Source organism: Homo sapiens, chromosome 3, assembly GCF_000001405.40.
Source record: "Homo sapiens chromosome 3, GRCh38.p14 Primary Assembly".
NCBI classification, from domain to species: Eukaryota; Metazoa; Chordata; class Mammalia; order Primates; family Hominidae; genus Homo; species Homo sapiens.
The window spans coordinates 195,948,547-195,973,146 of record NC_000003.12 but is presented as its reverse complement, the minus strand read 5'-3'; the positions used below and the strand labels follow the sequence as shown (position 1 = coordinate 195,973,146).

The 24,600-nt window shown below is 49.4% G+C and overlaps 1 long non-coding RNA gene and 1 pseudogene across 16 annotated transcripts in view, besides 7 other annotated features; both read left to right on the top strand.

Moving 5' to 3' along the window:
• Positions 1-13,226, top strand: part of SDHAP1 (SDHA pseudogene 1) — a 30,359-nt pseudogene extending 17,133 nt beyond the window's left edge. Inside the window, exons 11-17 of the transcript NR_003264.2 lie at positions 1,703-1,824; positions 4,762-4,928; positions 5,157-5,268; positions 5,503-5,633; positions 7,605-7,718; positions 9,726-9,847; positions 13,061-13,226. The product of NR_003264.2 is annotated as an SDHA pseudogene 1 (transcript). The remainder of the gene's footprint in view (positions 1-1,702; positions 1,825-4,761; positions 4,929-5,156; positions 5,269-5,502; positions 5,634-7,604; positions 7,719-9,725; positions 9,848-13,060) is intronic.
• Positions 1,094-1,326: a silencer, noted in NCBI's record as "fragment chr3:195698692-195698924 (GRCh37/hg19 assembly coordinates)". NCBI's record gives its function as "represses an EF-1alpha promoter that drives an FKBP-Casp9 reporter gene in an ReSE screen in HepG2 liver carcinoma cells {active_cell/tissue: HepG2}" and the evidence as "EXISTENCE:reporter gene assay evidence [ECO:0000049][PMID:32094911]".
• Positions 4,915-5,415: an enhancer, noted in NCBI's record as "H3K4me1 hESC enhancer chr3:195694603-195695103 (GRCh37/hg19 assembly coordinates)". NCBI's record gives its function as "activates a minimal SCP1, AML or CMV promoter by ChIP-STARR-seq in naive H9 embryonic stem cells {active_cell/tissue: H9 hESC(naive)}" and the evidence as "EXISTENCE:reporter gene assay evidence [ECO:0000049][PMID:30033119]".
• Positions 5,416-5,916: an enhancer, noted in NCBI's record as "H3K4me1 hESC enhancer chr3:195694102-195694602 (GRCh37/hg19 assembly coordinates)". NCBI's record gives its function as "activates a minimal SCP1, AML or CMV promoter by ChIP-STARR-seq in primed H9 embryonic stem cells {active_cell/tissue: H9 hESC(primed)}" and the evidence as "EXISTENCE:reporter gene assay evidence [ECO:0000049][PMID:30033119]".
• Positions 11,485-11,534: a silencer, noted in NCBI's record as "silent region_15048". NCBI's record gives its function as "represses an Ori minimal core promoter by ATAC-STARR-seq in GM12878 lymphoblastoid cells {active_cell/tissue: GM12878}" and the evidence as "EXISTENCE:reporter gene assay evidence [ECO:0000049][PMID:35858748]".
• Positions 11,835-11,884: an enhancer, noted in NCBI's record as "active region_21064". NCBI's record gives its function as "activates an Ori minimal core promoter by ATAC-STARR-seq in GM12878 lymphoblastoid cells {active_cell/tissue: GM12878}" and the evidence as "EXISTENCE:reporter gene assay evidence [ECO:0000049][PMID:35858748]".
• Positions 17,076-17,727: an enhancer, noted in NCBI's record as "H3K4me1 hESC enhancer chr3:195682291-195682942 (GRCh37/hg19 assembly coordinates)". NCBI's record gives its function as "activates a minimal SCP1, AML or CMV promoter by ChIP-STARR-seq in primed H9 embryonic stem cells {active_cell/tissue: H9 hESC(primed)}" and the evidence as "EXISTENCE:reporter gene assay evidence [ECO:0000049][PMID:30033119]".
• LOC124906253 (keratinocyte proline-rich protein-like) overlaps positions 18,621-24,600 on the top strand; it is a 41,447-nt gene continuing 35,467 nt past the window's right edge. For 2 of the 15 annotated variants that reach the window (NR_197449.1, NR_197450.1), the window contains exon 1: positions 18,621-23,905. This is a non-coding gene — a long non-coding RNA (keratinocyte proline-rich protein-like). Of the gene's footprint in view, positions 23,960-24,600 lie in introns of those variants that run through there. The other 13 variants (NR_197445.1, NR_197456.1, NR_197455.1 and 10 more) reach the window with 13 other exon arrangements.
• Positions 18,681-18,820: a silencer, noted in NCBI's record as "silent region_15047". NCBI's record gives its function as "represses an Ori minimal core promoter by ATAC-STARR-seq in GM12878 lymphoblastoid cells {active_cell/tissue: GM12878}" and the evidence as "EXISTENCE:reporter gene assay evidence [ECO:0000049][PMID:35858748]".

Sequence of the window (24,600 nt, the reverse complement as noted above, 5' to 3'; positions counted from 1 at the left end):
ATGTGTTAAAATCGGTAGAACTGAGGCCGGGTGCAGTGGCTCACACCTATAATCCCACCACTTTGGGAGGCCAAGGCAGGCCGATTGCTTGAGCTCAGGAGTTCGAGACCAGCTTGGGCAAGGTGGTGAAACCCCGTCTCTACCAAAAATACAAAAATTAGCTGGGCATGGTGGCTCACACTTGGGTAGTCCCAGCTACTTGGGAGGCTGAGGTGGGAGGATTGTTGGAGCCTAGAAGGCGGAGGTTGCTGTGAGCCGAGATCGCACCACTGCACTCCAGCCTGGGCAACAGAGGGAGGAGACACTGTCTCAAAAAAAGAAAAAAAAAAGAAAAAAGAAACTGTAGAACTGTCCACCGAAAGAAAAAAGTCAATTTTAATGGATGATCAATTTTTAAAGCGTTATAAACAAAAGGAAAAGAGACACCAGCAAGCCTAGAAGCATTTGAGCAGACCGTCAAGAGACCCACAGCCTGGTCCCGAGGAGAGGCGGTAGGCGGGACAGGGCCTGTTGGACTCCTGCATTTCATACCTCCTATCTCCTGCATGTGTTACTTATTGAAGAAAAAATATATATAATTTTATAAAAAAAAAAAAACCTTTAAAACTTTTTTCAAGACATCTTGGAAACACAAGAGTTGCAAATCTTGGCCTTGTGCAGCAGCTCACACATGTGATCCCAGCACTTTGGGAGGCTGAGGCAGGTGGCTCACCTGAGGTCAGGAGTTCGAGACCAGCCTGGCCAACATGGTGAAACCCTATCGCTACTGAAAATACAAAAATTAGCCGGGTATGGTTGCAAACTCCTGTAGTCCCATCTACTCCAGAGTCTGAGGCAGGAGGATTGCTTGAACCAGGAGGTGGAGGTTGCAGTGAGCCGAGATGGTGCCACCGCACTCCAGCCTGGGCTACAGAGCAAAATTCCATCTCAAAAAAAAAAAAAATTGCAAATCTTGAAGTATAGATGAGAGCACACAATAGTCCAAATCAGCAGGTGACTTGCAAGCACACAGCAGCCACCTTCCTCCCCCTAATGTGAAGGACAGTGGGGCGGCCGGCCCCTTGGGACCACCATCTGGAAGGTGTCATTTTTTCCCGTTAGTGGAGTGACATTTATATACACTTAATGTATATAAATCTGTATACATTTAATTTTTTTTTTTTTGTAAGACAGGGTCTCGCTCTGTTGCCCAGGCTGGAGTGCAGTGGCGCGATCTCGGCTCACTGCAACCTCCATCTTTCGGGTTGAAGCAGTTCTCATGCCAGATAATTTTTGTGTTTTTAGTAGAAATGAGGTTTTGCCACGTTGGCCAGGCTGCTCTTGAACTCCTGATTTCAAGTGCTTCACCTACCTCAGCCTCCTAAAGTGCTGGGATTACAGGCGTGAGCCACTGCACCCGGCCTACATTTTAATTTTTTAATTTTAGAGATGATTTCTAGTTTATTCACTCTAAGATCACTTAATGGATATCTACTGTGTGCCAACAGTTTTGCCTTTTATGTCTGTTCTTTAAAATTGGCCCCAACTCAACAGATGGCCTCAGATGTAGGGTGGGTTGGCAGTGTGTTAGCTCAGGAGACTTACACAGTTTCCAGGCTCCTTGAGCGGCTATGCTACATTTTTGTGTGTCGTACTAAATCCATTTGTTTTTTTAAAACGGTTTTCAAAAGTTAAATTCTAGCTCTTTTTGTTGTTGTTTTAGGAGATAAAGTCCCTCCAATTAAACCAAATGCTGGGGAAGAATCTGTCACGAATGTTGACAAATTGAGATTTGCTGATGGAAGAAGCATAAGAACATCGGAACTGCGACTCAGCATGCAGAAGGTAAGAGCCTGGACTCGCTCTGGAGTGAGCAGGCTGGCTGCATACCTGGCCCTGCACTGGTTTTGTTTTTTTAAAAACAGATCTAGGGGGATGCAGGTGCAGCTTTGTGTGGATGTACTGGGAGGTGGTGGAGTCTGGGCTTTTCATGTACCCGTCACCCAAGTCGTGTGTGTTGTACTCAGCAGGTAATTGCTCATCCCCACCCCTCCCGCTTTTTGGAGCCCCCAGTCTCTGTTAGTCCACTCCGTGTGTCCATGTGTACTCACTGTTCAGCTCCCACTTCCAAGGGAGAATGTGTGACACTTGACCTTCTGAGTCACTTCACTTAGGATAGTGACCTCCCGTTCCATCCGTCTGGCTGCGGAAGACATGATTGCATTCTTTTTTTATGGCCAAGTAGTATTTCATGGTATATATGTACCACATTTTCTTTATCTGGTCGTCCGTTGATGGGCACTTAGGTTGATTCCATGACTTTGCTATTGTGACTAGTGCTGCAATAAACATACGAGGCTGCACCAGTATCTGGAGGTAAACAGCAGTAGGACATACTCCTCACTGTATCAAGAATATGAAAGAGACCAGAAGTGCACTTCTTCTCCACATAGAAGGTCAGCAGGCCAGGGCAGAATTAGTGACTGCTTAGCATCCAGGACAGCCTTCTGTGGTTCACTTGTGTGTGCTTGGGCATGACCGCCGTGCCCTGACCGTCGCTGGCTGTCATGGATGAGTCACAGCGTGGAGGAGAGGGAGCCGCAGGACCACCGGAGAAGCTCCGTCCCCAGCAGGGCAGCTTTCTCTTAGAGGTTTCCTGGAGTTCAACACAAGACTGGTGCTTACATCTCAGGCCCAGATATTGATCATGTCTTCATGCCTGGCTTCCAGCAGCTCGGAAACGTCTTTAAGCTGGACCTGTTGCTGCCCCTAAATATACTCAGCAGAGAGGGAGAGTGGGCGGCCGGTGGACAGTGATCTGTGTGGCCTGTGCTGCTGGGAGTCGGTCCAGTAGGACCGTCTGTGATGATGGAAATGTTGACTGCCGTCCAGTATGGCAGCCATTAGCCATGGGGCCGTGGAGAACCTGATATATAGTCAGTCTAAGAAACTGAATTCCTCTAATAACAAGGATTCTTGTCCATGAATGAGAATCTCTTGTCTACTATTTGCAAGAATTGCTGCGTATTTTCTAGGAAGAAGTCCACTGCTTTAGTCCTATTCTGAAAGGCATTTGGTGTTAGACACAAGAGAACAGGTTCCCTGCTGACATTTTCAGAGGCCCGTGCCCTTCGGTCTTCAGGTGAGGCTGGGCTTGAGGGAGGCTTTGTGGAACGGTGAGAAGAACAGCGTGACTAAGGCACAGAAGGCTGAGTGATGCCCTGCAGTGCTTTTGTAGGGTTGGAGGCCAGCTGGGAAAGAAGGAACCCTTGCGTTAGAGAATGGGAACATGCCTTAGGATATAGAAATGGCAAATCTGAGATAGTTTGAAGTGAGAATACTAGAAGTGTTCCCACCAAACAAGGTGTGTCTTGGTGCCTGCTGTATCCCAGGCTCCGTGAGGTGCCGGAGTCAGCACTGAACAAACAGAGCTTCCTATGCTTGCGGAAATGCATTTCGTTGGGGGAAGGGATTTTTCTGCTGACTCTGGCTATTAATAGTAACAATCAAAAAAAGAAATGAGGTAAATTGTTAGAAACAGGCCCCCAAATGTGGCCATAAACTGGCCATAAACAAAATCTCTGCAGCATGTGACATGCTCGTGATGGCCAGGACGCCCACGCTGGAAGGTTATGGGTTTACCGTAATGAGGGCAAGGAACACCTAGCCCACCCAGAGCGGAAAACCTCTTAAGACGTTCTTAAACCACAAACAATAGCATGAGCGCTCTGTGCCTTAAGGACATGCTCCTGCTGCAGATAACTAGCCAGACCCATCCCTTTATTTCCTGTAAGGAATACTTTCAGTAAGTCTTATCACTGGCTTGCTGTCAATAAATACATGGGTAAATCTCTGTTTGAGGCTTTTGGCTCTGAAGGCTGTGAGACCCCTGATTTCCCACTCCACACTCTATATTTCTGTGTGTGTGTCTTTACTTCCTCTAGTGCCACTGGGTTAGGGTTTCCATGACCCAGCTGGTCTTGGCAGTAAATATTGAAAAGGAATAGATACAGTTTCCATTATTTACAGATATAATTTCCAAAAAATTTCCAGAGAATAAATGGAAAAACTAACAGAAACAAAACAAGAATGTAGTAAGGTATGTGGATAAGAGATTTGTATGTAAAAATCAGTAGCTTTGCAATGTGCCAGCAGTAATCTGCTCAGACATCAGTAAATATCTCATTCGCATTTCAAACAAAAAATTTAAAATGCCTTGAAATAATGTAACCAGAAATACGAAAAGATGATACGAAAACGTCGCTGCTGAAGGACATGAAAGAATGTAATACTAGATTCTGAGATGCAATTTTTTTCATTTGTTCTTCCTGAAAAACCGTTAGGTTGATGTGCATTACAGTGTTACGATTATGTATGAGTCTAAGGAAAATCAGATGAAATGTCCAAATTGAACCATGAAGGTGCATTGGTAGAGGAAGAGACAATTAGGGTCAGTGGAGCAAAGCACAGTTAGAGGGAGAAGCAAGGAGGAGGAGGGATCACGGAGGTGGTGCCTGTGTGTCCCACAGGAAGCAAAAGCTGATGCCCAGTTCCCAGCATACCTAAGTAAACTTCAGGTCCACTCCCAGCACGTTTCTCGTGATAGTAAAACTATGAAGGAACTCAGTGTACAAGGAGCTTCTACAAAATAGGCAGAAGACAGTAGCCAGATGGGCCAAGGGCCCCAGCCACCCACGCCCCTCCCTCTCCTTGAAGACCTTCGGTTCCAACCCCACCATCAGCAGGGCTCTGCTCAGTTCCTCCTTGTGTGTATCACCACAGGGCTGCTGGCTCGTGTCACGTTCACCACCAGACCCCACATCAGGAGTCCCGCCAGGGGTGTGGGGAGGCAGCGCTGCCTGGTTGGCCGTGGAGCCGTATGGAACATGGTGCCTCACAGGCAGTCTGCTTGGCGTCCTGGATCCTGGCTGTATCCCGCTGGAAAGGATGTGTGTGGGTCTAAGATATGTATATAATAGAAACATTTATTCAGAAGCTTTAGTCAAGACTTCATTTTTAAGTTCAGAGTAATAAACTCATAGTCTAAATTTCCTAATTTTTCTGTTTAATTTACATAAATAAAATGAAATGCAAAACAACAGGTCTAAAAGTTAAGCAGTTCTTGGTATGGCTGCTTCTATGAATTAAAAGTTTACAAATAATATTTTGTGCCACAGTCAACGCAAAATCATGCTGCCGTGTTCCGTGTGGGAAGCTTGTTGCAAGAAGGTTGTGGGAAAATCAGCAAGCTCTATGGAGACCTGAAGCATCTGAAGACGTTTGACCGGGGTGAGCAGACAGTGGGCTCTGTGCACACTGTTGGGCCCTGCCTTCTGCAGGGTGGGCTGGTGTCTGTCCCGTCAGTGCTGACTTAGTTCCATGCTTGCTGTCTGGATGGGTGCTGGCCCCCAGCTGTAAAGCCACAACCAGTGACTCCATGGACTAGCAGGCCCAGGCTGACAGCTCGGAGGGCCCGTGTGACTGGGTCCCACCTGCCCCTGATGGAACTTTTTGTGTCCCCAGGAATGGTCTGGAACACGGACCTGGTGGAGACCCTGGAGCTGCAGAACCTGATGCTATGTGCGCTGCAGACCGTCAATGGAGCAGAGGCGGGGAAGGAGTCACGGGGCGCGCACGCCGGGGAAGACTACAAGGTGCGCCTTCTCGCCACGCCCACCTGCACCTGCCTTTTCCTCCCGCCTGGTGGGACTCAGCCCCACCCCTGCATTTTCTCTGCATTTTATGTCGTTTCCCCAAAAGTATATCCAAAAAATGCCTTTTTCCCTCTGGTAACTTTGATCCCTGGGTTCTCGCCATTTTCTGGATCACTGTGACCTGTTCCTTGCTTTGGGTCGGCATCCACTGATGCCAGCAGTGGCATCTCCAAGCCAATGTGCTTTGCTGTTAGAAGGCCAAGGTTAGAAGTGCAGCCAGCGTGGCATGACCAGGAAATAAATGCCAGTTTATTAAATAACGAGTAAGCCACCGTTTCAAGCCTGCCCTGTGGAGGAAATGCCAGTTTATTAAATAACGAGTAAGCCACCATTTCAAGCCTGCCCTGTGGAGGAAATGCCAGTTTATTAAATAACAAGTAAGTCACCGTTTCAGACCTGCCCTGTGGAGGAAATGCCAGTTTACTAAATAACGAGTAAGCCACTGTTTCCAACCTGTCCTGTGGTTTGGAAAAGGTATTATAGAGCCTGTCCTGTGGTTTGATTACGGAGCCTGCCCTGTGGTCACTTGTTCTTCAGATGAACTGATTTTTGTGCAGAGCACACGTGTTGGATTCTGCCTGGTAAGAGTTTTTCACATATGATAGCAAAAAACGACGGAAAGGGAAGCTTGGGGTGCAAATGCAAGTTCAGCATAAACCACATCAGCAAAAGGACAAAGGCTCCACAAGGCAGGCGCACAGGCTGGTTCAGGGCCATGTGTGGGCGGCTGGTGGCAGCCTTTCCAGTCAGCTGAACACAGTGAATGGGAAAATCATTTTTATTCACCATGAAATTTTACTGATTTACCCTCCACTAGAATATGCTGATGGCTGTGATCACTGCTCAGAATTTGCTCGTCTCCTCATACATATTAAGAGTCTTTCCTGCAAAGTATATGAATCCGTGTTTGCCAGAATACAGAATAATAATAAATTTATGATTTTTAATTTTTTGAGATGGAGTCTGACTGTCCCCCAGGCTAGAGTGCAGTGTTGCGATCTCAGCTCACTGCAACCTCTGCCTCCCAGGTTCAAGTGATTCTCCTGCCTCAGCCTCCCAAGCAGCTGGGGTTACAGGCGCATGCCACCGTGCCTGGCTAATTTTGTATTTTCAGTGGAGATGGGGTTTCACCATGTTGGCCGGGCTGGTCTCGAACTCCCGACCTCAAGTGAACCACCCACCTTGGCCTTCCAAAGTGCTAGGATTACAGGCATGAGCCACTGTGCCTGTCCAGGAGCATAAATTTAGTTGGTGACAACGAGTTTTAATTAGAATAGAAGCCAGATGCAGTGGCTCCCACCTGTAATCCCAGCATTTGGGAGGCTGAGGCAGGCAGATCACTTGAGCCCCGGAGTTCTAGACCAGCCTGGGCAACATGGCGAAACCTGTCTCTACAAAAATTAAAAAATTAGCCAGGCGTGGTGGTACACACCTGAGGTACCAGCTGCTCAGGAGGCTGAGGCAGGATGATTGATTGAGCCCGGGAAGTCAAGGCTCTGGCGAGCTGTGATCACACCATTACGCTCCAGCCCAGGTGACATAGCGAGACCCTGTCTCAAAAGAAAAAAAAAGTGTTTTTAATAAAAACAGGCTGAAAGAAAGGATTGAGGTAGTCTCCCAGCGCTTGGAGCAAAAAGACAAAGTATTTGATAAACTCTTAGGTACATAAAGGATGTCTAAGGGAACATGCGGACATGGATTACTCTGGACTCACTGCTGGCTGCACATTGCTGGCCAGCCATGTGGCCTCTGTGCGTTCTGAACGTGTTGATGGTGCCAACCTCCTGGGCTGAAGTGGAAATGGAATGGGTTCTAGGGCATCTGTCTCTTAGATCATTTTAACGTTTGCTGTGTTTTTTCTGTATTGCTCTGTTAGAGTAATGAGAAATGTGATGGTGTTTCTGGGCTCAGGTGCGGATTGATGAGTACGATCACTCCAAGCCCATCCAGGGGCAACAGAAGAAGCCCTTTGAGGAGCACTGGAGGAAGCACACCCTGTCCTATGTGGACGTCAGCACTGGGAAGGTCAGTGTGGAGCTCGTTCTCACCACAGCCCAGCACCCACACGGCCCCGCCCAGGTCTGCGGGCTGGCCTTGCTGATGGTGAACGCAGAGGAGCAGGCCAGATTTAAATCACCTCCCGACAGATTTGAGGCACCGCTGAAAAAGGCACTCTGACAGCAGTTGGGCTTCGGGCTGGAAACAGAATCCAGTGCCTGCAGGTGGTTCAGAGGAGCCTTAAGGAAGGGTTGCTCTGTGGTGTGGGCCAGATGGACGTCACTGGGCAGGAGCAAGTGTCCAAGGCCTGGTGGCAGGGGAAGAGATGATGATTATGGACCTAGCGAGAAAGCATCTGTGTAGTGGGGACACAGCCACTACCAGAAACCAGTCCCGAGCCAAGGGAGCCCAGAAGAGATCCCTCCCCTCTCCTCCCATGGGCTGGGCCAACTGGAAGCATCTGCAGGGGAGCAGAGGGGATGAGGTGCAGCCCTTAGCATCCCCTGGGCACTGAGCAAGCAGAGAAGGGCAGAAATGGAGGCGGGGTTGGGGTGAGCAGCGTCCTGGGAACAGCTAGCCGAGGGTGTGGTAGGGGGGTTGCAGCTTGTTCCACACAAGCACAGCGTCCTGGGAACAGCCAGCCGAGGATGTGGTAGGGGGTTGCAGCTTGTTCCACACAAGCACAGCGTCTTGGGAACAGCCAGCCGAGGGTGTGGTAGGGGGGTTGCAGCTTGTTCCACACAAGCACAGTTCACCCGTGTGGCATTTCCGCTGGGCATTGAGATTCAGAAATCATGAAGATAGAAAGCTTTTACCCTTAAGCTTTTCATAACTTGTAAGGGAGAGTCGTATAATCACTTAGCTGTGTCTGTGGAAGTTACCTTTGGACTCTCACTATCATCTAGTGTGTCTGTGATTCAGGCAGTAGGTCATTTTCAGAATTTATCATGAAGGCCATTTCCTGATAGTATAGAGAGGTCACACTTGCTTAGCACAAGTCTATTTTTAATGTTTCCGGGTTCAGGTTTTTTGTTTTGTTTTTGTTGTTCTGAGATAGAGTCTCATCTCTTTTGCCCAGGCTGAAATGTGGTGGCTCGATCTCGTCTCACTGCAGCCTCAACCTCCCCTCGGCTCAGGTGATCCTCCCACCTCAGCCTCCCGGGCACATGCCACCATGCCTGGCTAATTTTTGTATGTTTTGTAGAGACGGGGTTTTGCCACGTTGCCCAGGCTAGTCTTGAGCTCCTGAGCTCAAGTGATCCACCTGTCTTGGCCTCCCCAACAGGCATGAACCAACACGCCCAGCCAGTTTCAGTGATTTTTCAAGAAATACGTACTCATTTTAGAAAGTACAAAGAGATTGAAATAAGAGCTCACTAACCAGAGATGACCCATTATGGTTTAAATTTCTTTGTATATGTGCCTACCTTTTCCTGTGTGTGCATATTTAATACACGGCTTGAGTATTCCTTCTCTGAAATCGTTGGGACCAGAAGTGTTTTGGATTTCAGGCTTGTTCAGACTTTGGAATATTTGCATTACACTTACTGTCTGAGCATCCCTAATGGGAAGATCTGACTCCATAGCACATTTCTTTTGAATGTCATGCTGGTGCTCAGAAAGTTTCAGATTTGGGAGAATTTCAGATGTTTGGATTAGGGATGTTCTACCTATATAAATATTTACTTTGAAGTAGAAAAACTGGAAGTAGATAGTTTAAACATGAAGTGTCTTGGTATAGACAAGGGTTCTCCCACTTTTCATGATGGGAGCATTTTTGTAAAGCAAAGCACTGAGAATCTGGTACAGTGTCATTTTCGTTGCTCTGTTCCACTCTACCGATCTGCCGTCATTTACAGTCCCCTGTTGCGCATGTAGATCATTTTTGAATTTGTTATTGGAAAATACTGCAGCAAATACCTTAAAGTTTACATGCCGTAAATCTACTTTTATAGTTAAAATTTTTCAAAAGGAACACAAGAGATGGCTTTTTGTACATTTTTGTGCTTAACTTACCACTGACTTCTTTTCAAGGTCACTGTGGAATATAGACCCATAATCGACAAAACTTTGAATGAGGCTGACTGTGCCACTGTCCCCCCAGCCATTCACTCCTACTGATGAGACAAGATGCGGTGATGACAGAATCAGCTTTTGTAATTATGTATAATAGCTCATGCATGTGTCAATGTCATAACTGTCTTTATACGCTTCTGCACTCTGGGGAAGAAGGAGTACATTGAAGGGGGATTGGCACCCAGTGGCCGGGGAGCGTGGCACTTTGTCCCTTGCTTCATTCTTGTGACAAGATAAAACTGGGCACAGCTCTTAAATAAAATATAAATGAACAAACTTTCTTTTATTTCCAAATCCATTTAAAATATTTTACTGTTGTGACTTTAGTCATATTTGTTGACCTAAAAATCAAATGTAATTATCTTTGTATTCTGTTACATCAAAATCCAGATATTTTGTTGTAGTTTCTTTTTTTTTTTTTTTTTTGAGACAGGATCAGTGCAGTGGTGCAGTCTCAGCTCACTGCAGCCTCAAACTCCTGGGCAGCTCAGGTGATCTTCCCGACTCAGCCTTCTGAGCAGTTGGGGCTACAGGTGTGCACCACCACGCCCAGCTCATTTATTTTGTAATTGTAGGGACAGGGTCTCACTGTGTTGCCTAGGCTGGTCTCAAACTGCTGGGCTCAAGTGATCGTTCCTCCTTGGCCTCCCGAAGTGCTGGAATTATAGGTGTGAACCACCATGTCTGGCCTTATTGTAGTTTATTTCTAAGTTCAAATTAATGTTGGTGCTTTTCCTCCTTTTTCTTGGCAGATGGTTTGCTAGGTGAGTGTGTCCTCGATTCTTTAAATCAGGGTCCCCAGTCCCCAGGCCACAGATCGTTACCAGTCCATGGCCTGTTAGGAACCAGGCCACACAGTAGGAGGTGAGCAGCCAGCCAGTGAGCATTACTGTGTGAGCTCGGCCCCCTGCCAGAGCATTACTGTGAGCTCCGCCCCCTGCCAGAGCATTACTGTGTGAGCTCCGCCCCCTGCCAGAGCATTACTGTGAGCTCCGCCCCCTGCCAGAGCATTACTGTGTGAGCTCCGCCCCCTGCCAGAGCATTACTGTGTGAGCTCCGCCCCCTGCCAGAGCATTACTGTGTGAGCTCCGCCCCGTCAGAGCATTACTGTGTGAGCTCCGCCCCCTGTCAGAGCATTACTGTGAGCTCCACCCCCTGCCAGAGATTACTGTGTGAGCTCCACCCCATGTCAGAGCATTACTGTGTGAGCTCCGCCCCCTGCCAGAGCATTACTGTGAGCTGCACCCCCTGCCAGAGCATTACTGTGTGAGCTCCGCCCCGTCAGAGCATTACTGTGTGAGCTCCGCCCCCTGTCAGAGCATTACTGTGTGCGCTCCGCCCCCTGCCAGAGCATTACTGTGAGCTCCACCCCCTGCCAGAGCATTACTGTGTGAGCTCCGCCCCCTGTCAGAGCATTACTGTGTGAGCTCCGCCCCCTGTCAGAGCATTACTGTGTGAGCTCCGCCCCCTGTCAGAGCATTACTGTGAGCTCCGCCCCCTGTCAGAGCATTACTGTGTGAGCTCCGCCCCCTGTCAGAGCATTACTGTGTGAGCTCCGCCCCCTGCCAGAACATTACTGAGCTCCGCCCCCTGCCAGAGCATTACTGTGTGAGCTCCGTCCCCTGCCAGAGTATTACTGTGTGAGCTCCGTCCCCTGCCAGAGCATTACTGTGTGAGCTCCGCCCCCTGGCAGAGCATTACTGTGTGAGCTCCGCCCCCTGTGATCATTACTATGTGAGCTCCGCCCCGTCATATCATTACTGTGTGAGCTCCACCCCCTGTCATATCATTACTGTGTGAGCTCCGCCCCCTGTCATATCATTACTGTGTGAGCTCCTCCCCCGGCCGGAGCATTACTGTGTGAGCTCCGCCCCCTGCCAGAGCATTACTGTGAGCTCCGCCCCCTGCCAGAGCATTACTGTGTGAGCTCCACCCATTGTCAGCATTACTGTGTGAGCCCTGCCCCCATCAGATCATTACTGAGCTCCGCCCCCTGCCAGAGCATTACTGTGAGCTCCGCCCCCTGCCAGAGCATTACTGTGAGCTCTGCCCCCTGTCATCATTACTGTGTGAGCTCCGCCCCCATCATCATTACTGTGTGAGCTCCGCCCCCGTCAGAGCATTACTGTGAGCTCCGCCCCCTGCCAGAGCATTACTGTGTGAGCTCCGCCCCCCTGCCAGAGCATTACTGTGAGCTCTGCCCCCTGTCATCAATACTGTGTGAGCTCCGCCCCCGTCATCATTACTGTGTGAGCTCCGCCCCCGTCAGAGCATTACTGTGAGCTCTGCCCCCTGCCAGAGCATTACTGTGTGAGCTCCGCCCCCGTCATATCATTACTGTGTGAGCTCCGCCCCCTGTCATATCATTACTGTGTGAGCTCCGCCCCCTGTCATATCATTGCTGTGTGAGCTCCGCCCCCTGTCATATCATTGCTGTGTGAGCCTCGCCTCCTGTCAGATCAGTGGTGGCATTAGATTCTCATAGGAGTGGAATCCTGTCGTGAACTGCGCATGCGAAGGATCTAGGTTATGCCCCGCTTATGAGAATCTAATACTGATGATCTGAGATGGAACCGTTTCGTCTCCAAACCATCCCCACACTTGTCAGTGGAAAAAGTGTCTTCCGTGAAACCAGTCCCTGGTGCCAAAAAGGTTAGGGACTGCCGGTTTAAATAACCAAATGCTAAAAGAACTGGCATAGAAGTAAATGGGCTGCTGCTTTATTTTTAGGCTGTTCTTTTTAGAGAACAATGACAGTTATTTCCAAGTTTGTCATTAGAAAATAATATTAGGTTGGTGCAAAAGTAATTGCGGTTTTTGCTATTGCTTTCAATGGTAAAAGCCACGATTACTTTTGCACCAACTTAATATGATAAATTTGTTCCTTAAAGTGTATTTTTGATAAGAAAGCCCTTTTGTTTTTCCTTCTGTTAATTTTTTGTTTTTTTCTTGGTAGAGACAGAGTTTTGCCATGCTGCCCAGGCTGGAGTGCAGTGGTGTGATCTCGGCTCACTGCAGCCTCCACCTCCTGGGCTCCAGCAGTCCTCCCACCTCAACCTCCCTAAGAGCTGAGACTACAGGTGTGAGCCACCATGCCTGGCTAATTTTTAGAGACAGGGTTTCACCCTCTTGCCCAGGCTGGTCCCAAACTCCTGGGCTCAAGCAGTCCTCCTGCCTCAGCCTCCCAGAGTATTGGGATTATAGGTGTGAGCCACTGCCAGAAAAACGTTTCCTAAGACAAGGCAGGTCTTACATTATATTTAAATTTTTTTTAATGATGTCTTTTTTGGCAGTGCACAGCCAGAGAACAACACATCACACACAAGAAACAGTTGTGCTCATGTGATGGGGGCCTCAGCACTAGGAAGGAGTGGACTGTTGGCGCACGCAGCAGCTTGAATAAATCTGAAAGTCACTACGCTGCGTAAGAGAAGCCAAATAAAGCGCATGCTGTGTACAGAGGGTGTCGAGAATGCCTCCTACGTGACGGAAAGCAGATCCGTGGTTCCCTGCAGACTGGCAGGAGCAGATTCCAAAGGCACAGGAAGAAGCTTGCAGGTAGAATGTGTTCATTACCTTCTGCGCATTATACCACAAAAAAGCTGGGAATAAAAATGCTAACCAAAAAAAAAGGTGAAAGTAGATAAAATTTCTCAACTGTGTGATGGGTAAACGTGCAGGTTTGCTGTCATGCTTTGTTTATGAAGCTGTGGGGTACAAGGACTCTCATAGTCACTGTGGAATGCAGAACGTTGCAGCCTCATGGAAGAGGATTTGGCAGCATCTAACAAAATGACATGGCATTTGCCCTTAGACTCAGCAATTCTAGAATCTGCCTCAAAAAAAACTCTGGCAAAGAAATGAAAGGACTTTACCCACAGAGTTCTTTTCACAGCCTGAATGTGTTTGCCACAAAGTTCTTCACTGTGGCATTTGTAAAACTGGAAACAATCAAAATGTCCATCAGTAGGGGATTGGGAACATTAATTCGTGCAGTGGGGAACTCCGTACCAGAAGGAGGAATGAGGAACGCCTATTGATAAGGGGCAGAGTACATATCATATGATGCAAATATATATTGCTTTTTCTTAAAACAGTACAAAGATAAAAGTCTAAAGTGGTTGCTGTGGAGGATAGGGGTCAGTGGTGGAAGTGAGACCGAAATAGACTCTGAAGTAATATCTGGACTTTGAAATTGTTAAGTGTTTTACATATTACCAAACTAAGTTTTTAAGATAGTCCCTAAAATTGAAAGAATGGTATCTGAAATGAATGAATCTAAATTCCTTGGATTGCATTCTACAGGCTCCAACCGTGAGACCAAAATTTGGAAGGTGGCCCTGAGCAGCAGCTGAAGGGAAGTGGGAGGTGAGACAGGAAAGAGGCGGTGGCATGCGGCGTCCGGGAGCTGGGTCCCATGTGGGCAGCTGGGCCCGTGCTCACTGTGGGAGCTGGTGTGTTCCTTCACCAGCCCACACTCCACAGGTTTAGGATGGTCAATTCCGGGCACCCCTGGCCTGCTCCAGGACGTGCTCCTGCCACCAGAGAAAGCCCCTAGGCAGCGTCCCAGGTGCTGGTGGTGTCAGAATCGAGTTTGAGTCTGAGGAGTGACCTGGGGCTGGCTGGGCTAGGCAGCATCACGGGGTTCTGCAGCCCAACTGCACATCAGGCTGGTGACAGTCACGCAGCCTATTACCTCATGTGTCATCAGAGGATCGCTAGAACACAGCACTTCAAGTGTGCAGATTTAGTGAGCCATAGTCTAAAGACAAATAGAGCCACTGAATCCTAAATTTCAATCAATCATCTCCATTACTCGTCTTATTGGTATTAATCCTTTGAAATTATGTGGGGTGGGAGTTAAAGCTAATAACTAATTATGTTAATGCTAAAACTAAGATTTTTCTGGCAAGGGAAAATCCTCCCAAGTCCCAGCACTTTGGGAGGCCGAGGTGGGCAGATGACCTGAGGTCAGGAGTTTGAGACCAGCCTGGCCAACATGGTGAAACGCCATCTCTACTAAAATTGAAAAATTAGCTGGGCATGGTGGCAGGTGCCTGTAATCCCAGCTGTTGGGGAGGCTGAAGCAGGAGAATCGCTTGAAACAGGAGGCAGAGATTGCAGTGAGCCGAGATTGTGCCACTGCACTCCAGCCTGGGCAACAGGAACAAAACTCTATCTCAAAAAATAAAACAAGATTTTTCTGAGAAAAAGGTGTAAAACCGTATACTAAATTTGAAATAGAAATATAAGCGTGAACTCATTTGTTGTTCTTTTACCGTATACACATTTTCTACCTCTGCCCCAGTAGCAGTAGACACATCAAGCACCTAGAAAGTGGTCTCTAATACATGAAAACCATGAATTCATAGTGGTGGTTTCAAAGCCAAAACCAACCAAACACATGTAATTGGTCACTCTTGGAGGTACCTAGGGCACTAACTCCTAACACTGGGAATGGACACTTGAAGGAAGATCAGCAATTATCCTGTCTTTTCTCTACAAATTGCAATTCAGGGAAACCTTGTTGATTAGGGAAAGTTCTTTACATAAGAATTCCTGCAAATAAGTGAGTAAAGAATGACAGTTTAAGAATTGTCTCAGCCTGACCAACATAGTGAAACCCCATCTCTAAAAATACAAAAAATTAACCAGGCATGATGGTGGGTGCCTGTAATCCCAGTTACTCGAGAGGCTGAGGCAGGAGAGTTGCTTGAACCTGGGAGATGGAGGTTGCAGTGAGCCAAGAGTGCGCCACTGCACTGTAGCCTGGGCAACAAGAGCGAGACTCTGTCTCAAAAAAAAAAAAAAAAAAAAAAGAATTGTCAAATTCCCACCCCTAATGCCGTGGTTCTCTAACCTGTGTAACAGGATCACCTGGAGGGACCCTACCCCAGACCTTCCGATTCAGTCCTGGGGGGACCCTACCCTAGATCTTCCGATTCAGTCCTGGCGGGACCCCACCCGTGATCTGATTCAGTCCTGGGGGACCCCACCCCAGATCTTCCGATTCAGTCCTGGGGGGACCCTACCCCAGATCTTCCGATTTTGTCCTGTAGGGACCCTACCCCAGATCTTCCGATTCAGTCCTGGGGGACCCCACCCCAGATCTTTCTATTCAGTCCTGGGTGGACGCTACCCCAGATCTTCCGATTCAGTCCTGGGGGGACCCTACCCCAGATCTTCCGATTCAGTCCTGGGGGGACCCTACCCCAGATCTTCCGATTCAGTCCTGGGGGGATGCTACCCCAGATCTTCCGATTCAGTCCTGAGGGTCCCCACCCATGACCTTCCGATTCAGTCCTGGGGGGACCCTACCCCAGATTTCCTGATTCAGTCCTGGGGGACCCCACCCATGATCTTGCAATTGAGTCCTGGGGGGACCCCACCCCAGATCTTCCGATTCAGTCCTGGGGGGACGCTACCCCAGATCTTCTGATTCAGTCCTGAGGGTCCCCACCCATGACCTTCCGATTCAGTCCTGGGGGGACCCTACCCCAGATTTCCTGATTCAGTGCTGGGGGACCCCACCCATGATCTTGCAATTCAGTCCTGGGGGAACCCCACCCCAGATCTTCCGATTCAGTCCTGGGGGGACCCCACCCCATACCTTCCGATTCAGTCCTGGAGGGGACCCCATCCCCGATCTTCTGATTCAGTCCTGGGGGGGACCCCACCCATGATATTCTGATTCAGTCCTGGGGGACCCCACCCCAGATCTTCCGATTCAGTCCTGGAGGGACCCTACCCCAGATCTTCCTATTCAGTCCTGGTTCGGCCTGAGAATTTGCATTTCTAACATGTCCAGGGACCACAGTTTGAAAACCTCCACGGCTGACATGTAATGGGATGACATGGTCCAATAAATGAAGGAAAAATAACAGGTGGCAACCTCAGGCAGCTTCATCCCAACCAGTAAGAAAGTAAATCCTTTTGTAAACTCAGAGGAAGTATTAATATGGGCGTTTGAGCAAACATTTAAGTGTTAGGACAAATAATTAAAAACTAGCACAGGCACCCCTGAAGCATGATAGGATGGCAACAGAAGGGCTGATTTAGTTTCCAAGAAATAACTGACAGGCAATGTTGTGCGTGTGTCTACTACTTAGGAACCCAAAACAAACCTTCAGACCGTTTTCATGAGTACTGAGACCAAGAAAACCACTGGGCAGTGGGTGGTCTGGAAATGTAAATGTTGATGGTACTCCAGTAAAGAGTCATGGAACAATGCTTCATATTGAAAATGTTTTTGTAAATGTGGGTTTCAAGGTTTCAAAGTGAACCCATATGTGTTAGGAGAAAAGACACACCAAAGAAGTAAAATAATTGGGTCAATATAAAAAGTAGAATATTGCCCAGAGAGAAGATGTGGATAATTTCTAACACGGATCAAAGGCACCAAAAAGGTGAGCTGTAAGATATTCAGACCTGCACCGTCCCCTGCAGTAGACACAGACAACATCTTGGTAGGCAACTGGGTGAAAATTCAGAGACAACCCTAGGAACTATGAGGATGAAAAAAGTTAGCATTCATGGAATGAGGCACTGAAGAACCTGAAAAGCTGGAATAACCCCATGAAATAATGAGAATAATTGTAGTATCCTGAACCGGGGCACAGGACACAGGACTAGGGTGGAAGGCGGCATGAGACTACGCGCACAGGAAAGACCCAGGGATCACAGTGGCCCAAAGCTGGGCACTTCCCAATTCTGGGGATTTGTGCTACAGGCACTCCAGGCTCCACGGTAGAACTGTGTCCAGCACGAAGGCAGTGCTGTCTTGCGGGAGGCAGGGCTGCACCACCACAGGGGCGGGAAGGGGCCCGGCAGGGAGGCGCCCAGTGTTTCCAACTGCACGGGGTCGGGGGCGGCGCTGATGCAGAGCGCGGGGGCGCAGGTTAAACCTAAAGGGGGGAAGCTTTTCGGGGCAGAACAGACAACGGAGAACGCTGCACACTGCCCTTCCCACCCGAATTGTGTTTTGCCCTTTTTTTTTTTTTTGAGACGGAGTTTTGCTCTTGTTGCCCAGGCCTGGAGTGCAATGGCCTGATCTCGGCTCACCGCAACCTCCGCCTCCCGGGTTCAAGCAATTCTCCTGCCTCAGCGTCCCGAGTAGCTGGGATTACAGGCGTGCGCCACCACGCCCGGCTAATTTTGTATTTTTAGTAGATACTGGGTTTCTCCATATTGGCCAGGTTGGTCTCGAACTCCTGACTTCAGGTGATCCACCGGCCTCGGCCTCCCAAAGTGCTGGGATTACACGCGTCAGCCACCGCACCCGGCCTGCTTGCTTTTTTTTTTTTTTTTTTTTTTTTTTGCAGAGTCTCGCTGTCCACCGGGCTGGAGCTGCAGTGATCTCGGCTCCCTGCGGCCTCGACCTCCCGGGCTCAGGCGATCCTCCCGCCTCAGCCCACGGAGTACATGGGACCACAGGAGCCCACCACGCCCGACTACTTGCTGTAATTTTTGTAGGGATGGGGTCTAGCCCCGCTGCCCAGGCTGGTCCGCACTGCTGGGCTCAAGAGCTCCGCCCGCCTCCGCCCCCCAAAGCGCAGGGATCCCAGGTGTGAGCTACCGCGCCCCGCCCAGAGTTTCCGACTGTTAGCGTGAATCACATTCACGTCAAAACTTCTTTTTATACAAGAACTAAAAGGCAAACGAAATCCCTGCTCCATCACTGCCTGTCCCGGGTCGCGGCGCGGGACATTTCCTCCAAGCGCCTTCCCGGCCCCGCGCGCAGGTGGCCTGCGCCGGAGGATCTCGGACAACGCGCATTTCCTGCGCCCCCGGAAGCGGCGGTAACGCCTGGCCCTGCCCCGGCAGAGGCGGAAGTGGTGTCGCTCTGAGGTCGCCAGTCGCCGCACGCGCCTCAGCCCAGCCGCGCGCCTTGGCCCTTGGCCGCCTACTCCTACCGCCCCGGCCTTGGGCGGCCCTGGGCCTGCTGCGGGCGCGGCGCTGCCCGACCAGAGCTTCCTGTGGAACGTCTTCCAGAGCTGCCACCTGGCACCGCCCCGGCACCTCCCGCCTCCCCCGCAGCTGCCCCGGACCCGTGTCCCGACCCCCGCGGCCAACCCCGTTCCCTGCCGGTTGCCCCGCGGCCTCCCCCGTCACCTGCCGGGTCCCCAGCGGCCTCCCCCGTCCCCTGCCCCGACCTCCGCCGTCTCCACCGCCCCTGCCCGGACCCCCGCGGGCGCCCCCGAACCCTACCCCGACCGACGCGGCCGCCCCCATCCCCTGCCCCGACCCCCGCGGCCGCCCCCATCCCCTTCCGGGTCCCCCGCGGTCTCCCCCGTCCGCTGCCCGGTCTCCTGGGGCCGCCCCTGCCTCCTGCCCGGTCCCTGTCCTGTGCGTCGGGCGCTTCCCAAGGTGCAGAGGGCGCCACTGCATACCCGAGGTCGCGGCCACCGGCTCCTGGGCCAGGCCCCGTTTCTCGCCTCGAGCCGTCGGGGGAGGGTCTCCAGGGTGCTTGTTTGGGGAAAGCGGAAACAGACTGTCTGGGCCGCTGTTAAAATGTCAGCAGCCAAGGAAGAAGCAGCGACCTGGCGTCTGCTCGGGCCAGGTGACCTTTATGGCGGCGCCTTCTGTCCCTGGTCGCTTTTCCACTGAATGAATGACCGAAACTGTAGTAACTCATGGCCAGGGAATGGCTTAGTTATCTGAGGGAATCTTGTCTTGTCTGTGAAAAAGGGAAACTGGTGCAAATGGGAATTCAGACAGGTCAGGAGGGGAAGGAAGGGAAGGATTGAGGTGGGAAAAGAGAGAGAAAGATGATTGGCCTCTTAGGGGAAGAACACACTTGGACGTGGCTCCTGGGGCACTTCCTTGATTCCGCTGTACTCGTCAGCGGGACCGGAGAGGCGGAGGTTCCAGGAGGGAGCCTTCCAGAGTCGGTGCAGGGTTGACAGGAGACGTTTGTTTTGCTTTTCCTGAACTTTCGATCGCCAGCTTGTTTGGTCTTCTTGATGTTATAGGGTTGATAGAGAGGAGTGGAGTGATATCGGACACCCAGCTTCGGCAAGCTCTCTCCAAGGGTGAGTGGGCCAGTGGGACCTGGGTCTCCGGACCAAGAAGCCGCGAGCCTGCCCTGCTCACAGTGGATAACTTTCTTTCTGAAGTTGATTTTCCAAGGACAAAGGAATCATTAGGGCAAATTATTATTACTGCTTCATGGTGGAGATGCTTCTGGTTTATTCTGTGGCTACCGCTGTTACTGCTTGGAGTGCCTCACCGAGCCAGCTAACAACGGCGTGCGTGAGCACAGGGAAAGGCTTCTTGAGAAATGAAAACTAGGTTGTAGGTTTAGGAGGGGAATAGGAAGGTTAGCTCTGTCCAGCCGAAAGCCTTTTGGTAAGTTGGGGGTCCTTGAATTTCCTGGGTGACTGCATCTTGGTGACTTCTCTGAATAGACCTTCGAGGGCACTGGGGGGTGATTGTTGGAGGGCTTGGGGAGCTCAGGCAGCACTTGTGTGGGAACGTGGCTGTTACAGGAACTGCAGAAACTGGGACTGGGTTCCTGGGGAAAGGATTGGGGGTGTTGGAGGCGCTGGCAGGGGAGTTATGGGGAGGCGTTCTTATCAGTGTGCGAATAGTGGGCGTTCAGGCAGCGGGAAATCCGGGTCCTTGCGTGTTGTGAGCTCCCTGGAGTTACGTTCTTGCCAGTTTCAGCTCAATTGATCCCCCTCCCCTGAGCTATCATTGGATACATTTTACTTCATTGAACACCTGACTGCTGCTTTTTCTGTAATCCCTCAGGGGCAGTCATCTTTTCTGATTCTGAGTATAGTTTGCCTTTCCAGATCCGTGCCATTTAAGCTAGAAAAGGGGTCAGTTTTGAGATGTGAAAATGTTGAAAGGCTCCTCGTTATTAGTGGGAAGTATCTGATGTTGCCAGAGACTGAACTGGGGCGCGGGGAGCACTACGGCTGCTAGACACTGCCTCACTGCGCTGTGGGTGGGGGAGGTGCTGGATTCAGTCTTACTGCCTAATGATTTGTGAGGATTTGTGTTTTCAGAGTAACATGTTTACCTTATGTTATCAGTTCCTAATATGTGACGTATGGGCCACAGATGCTGGTGTATTATTTCACATGCATTTATATAGATTGTTTTCAGGGAATTCAGAAATTCTGTTATCTCTACACTAGTGATTGTGCTTTCTTGATTTTTCTCTTTTCATTATTCTTAAATCCTCCTTTTTTTTATTTGCATCTCAGTTCGTTTATACTCGGGAAGTGCAAGACATGGCTACTAGAAAGAGATGTCAAGAGAACCGGAATCCAGTAGGCTACAATTTGGCAAATCTTAGCTTAAAACTTCCTAAATGTTGACCACAGTGGATGCAAATGGCTCTGTGCATCGTCTGTTCAATATGGTCAGGTGACCACCCAGGTTCACGTGGTTTGTCACCAGGGTGATACGAGCCACATGGAGTGCCCTCCTCAGAGGCCATGTCTCAGAGATGTGTATTTTGAGTGGTTTTCCAGCAAGTGATGCAAGATTTATGATCCATTTTAAGAGCCTGCTTTTTATGCATTTGCTCAAATTTTTAGATTTTAAGTTTAGTTTTAGGTTTTCTGTTAAACTTGCTCAACTAGGAGTGGTGGTCAAATACTGGACCTCATTAGCATGGTAGCCTGCACACCTTGGCAGGCTCCACTGGAGTGCTTTGGGGCCTGCCTGGATTCCAGTCCTGGCTCTACCAGTTTTGTGTCCTCGCCATTACTGGGAGGGAGAATTGAGGAAATGCATGTGAGGTGCTTCCCGTGATTCCTGGCACGGAGCAAGTGCTCAGTAATTGTCAGCTGTGAGTATTAGTAGTAGCTAATACACTACTACTATTCTTGGCTAACAAGCCAGCTCAAAGCTTTGATGGTTTTCCATTACCTGATGATGGTGATGATGGTTTCCACTTCCTGAACACTCACACCCCTGGGCTAGGCACTTAACCCAAATCCAAGGTCAGCGTTATTGTTTGGGGGTGGGGGAGACACCTCCTGCTCTGACTCGTGTGTTTGGGTTCCCGTATTTTCACCAGAGGGTGTTAGTCCTGCCCAAGTTCAGCTGGTCCTCAAAGCGTATATAGCTCTTTAACCCTCAGCAAGTGTCAGTCAGAACATAATCTTGATTTCAGCTGCTACTAAATATCTACCAGGAGCCTGCTTGAGAGAGAGAATTGCCTGACAGGTGCTGAGTCCACCATTCCTGAGATACTTTGAAATCAGTGTCTGGCTTAACCCAAGCTGTGTATGGGGACCCTCTCACCGTGGTCCCAATGGAGTCGCTTTTGTTAGGCGCCCCCCTTTACCTTGGGCTCTGAGCTTCCTCTGCCTTTCATCTCTGCAGGATGAAGCCCCACCCGCCGTACAGGATGCAAAGCCCTCCTCTATAAAGTGCATGCGGGGCCAGATGCAGTGGCTCACGTCTGACCTCCCAACACCTTGGGAGGCCGAGGCAGGGGGATCGTTTGAGACCAGCCTGGGCAACATTGTGAGACCCTGTTCCTTGAATTGCCCTGGGAGATTTCCTCAGCTTGTGTTGGAGGCATGTGGCCCCATGAAGCCCGTAGTCACCGTTTACCCTGAGAGACGCTGGCTTTGGGGCTGACACACCTGCTGCGGGGCAGCCCCAGGAGATGGCCACCCTGTTTCTCCTGGAGCTGGAGCTGCGCGTGTTCTCAGCAACTGTGGTGGCTGTCCTGTTTTGTTTGCATCTTATAAACCTTTACCTGATTACATTTTCCTCTTCAGTTTAGCTGCTAGAGAACTTAAAGTCAGATTGGTGGCTCGCCAGTAATGAGAGTTTAGAGTAGAGGTAAACTTTATGACATAGTCTTAGACTCTTCCGTTTCTCCTCAGCCAACATGATTCACATTTACTTTATTTTGCTGTACTGTGAGTGTCTTTGTGTTTCCTGAATTCCTTCTGGAATAAGGCAGGCTGGTAGTAAGCACAGGTTTCTGGTCCATCTCATAGCCTCAGGCAGTGGGTGGTGCTGTCCATGCTCCCTTTCTGGGTTACCTGTGGTAGCTCTGAAGTTGCAGGGCTGCGATTTGAAGCCTGATTTAGTACACCGTGTTTCTGTCATGTTCTGTGGTGGTTTGCTCCTGACATGTGACCATTCACCCTGTGGCCCTGTGTTTTTCCACCACACCTCTGCCTGGTGGCATCCTACTGGATGTCTCAGCCGAGCCACTCTGTTCTGAAGATGCCCTTGTCCTCCACCCCTTTGCTTTGGGCTCTGAGCTTCTGCCTTTCATCTCTGTAGGATGAAGCCCCACCCGCCCTTCAGGATGCCAGCCTTGGCAACATTGTGAGACCCTGTTTCTACAAAAAGTAAACGTGTAGTGGTGCACGCCTGTAGTTCCAGCTACTTGGGAGGCTGAGATGGGAAGATCACTTCAGCCTGGGAGGTTGAGGCTGCATTGAGCTGAGATCAAGCCACGGCACTCCAGCCTGGGAGACAGAGCGAAACCCCATCTCAAAAAAACAAAGAAAGTGGATGCGCGCTGCTCCTGCCATTGGATCATCGCAGCATTTTTCTTTTCTCTGATATGCGCCTTTTTCCTCACCGTGGGGGCTCATGTTTTCGTAGTTTCTTCTCGCTACTAGATTGTGAGCTGCGTGAAGGAAGGTTCATAGTTGTGTTGTATGTACAGGCACACAAAATTTGTCCTTGGATAGACACATATCAGTCCGCTTCCTTCTCCTCTCTGAATTTCTTTATTTAAAAAAAAGAATTAGAGATGGAGTCTCACTGTCTTGCCCAGGCTGGTCTCAAACTCCTAGGCTCAAGCGATCCTCCCGCCTCTACTAATATGAATTATTAGCCTATACTAATATGAATTCCTATACTAATATGATTGAAATTAGTTTGACTTGTATAATAATTGTTCTCCCAGATTGGGCTTCTGTTTTGATAGTAGAACTAAATTATTAGGCTATTTCAAGAAATTAATATATTACTGGTAGAAAAACTGAAGCTACAAAATGGCCTGGTTTCTCACTTCAGTTAAATTTGTGCTTCTGAGTGCTTGTATTGTAGGTGAAACCGCACTGAGAAGGTATTTGTGGCCCGTACGCTGGTTCATTGATGAGACTTCTTTGCACAGGAGAGCCGCTAAAAATTACTGTGGTGAACAGGTATGAAGAAGACTGTTCTCTGCCCTTCTTTTTGCAATAAAATGTTACAAACTATCTTGAGTTTGATCCCTTTTCGGGTGTTTGGGTTTTTTTAACATTCACATATTTATTGGAATTATAAGAAATTAACTTTGTGCTTCTGAAGTGGGTTTGCCTTAATATAACACTGTTGTATTTGTAAGGGGCATTTTTAAAGTTGTACTTTAAAAAATAATAATTCTTAGATTCGTTTGAAGGTTTTTTGTTTGTTTGTTTGTTTGTTTTTGAGATGGAGGCTCGCCCTGTCACCCAGGCTGGAGTGCAATGGCATTGATCTTGGCTCACTGCAACCTCTGCATCTGGAGTTCAAGCGATTCTCCTGCCTCAGCCTCCTGAGTAGCTGGCACTACAGGCACCTGCCACCACGCCCAGCTAATTTTTTGTATTTTTAATAGAGATGGGGTTTCACTGTGTTAGCCAGGATGGTCTCAATCTCCTGACCTCATGATCCGCCCACCTCGGCCTCCCAAAGTGCTGGGATTACAGGCGTGAGCCAGGGGGCCAACATGGTGAAACTCTATCTCTACTAAAAATACAAAATTAGCCGGGAATGGTGTTGTGCGCCTGTAATCCCAGCTACTCGGGAGGCTGAGGCGTGAGAATCACTTGAACCTGGGAGGCAGAGGTTGCAGTGAGCTGAGATAGCGCCACTGCAC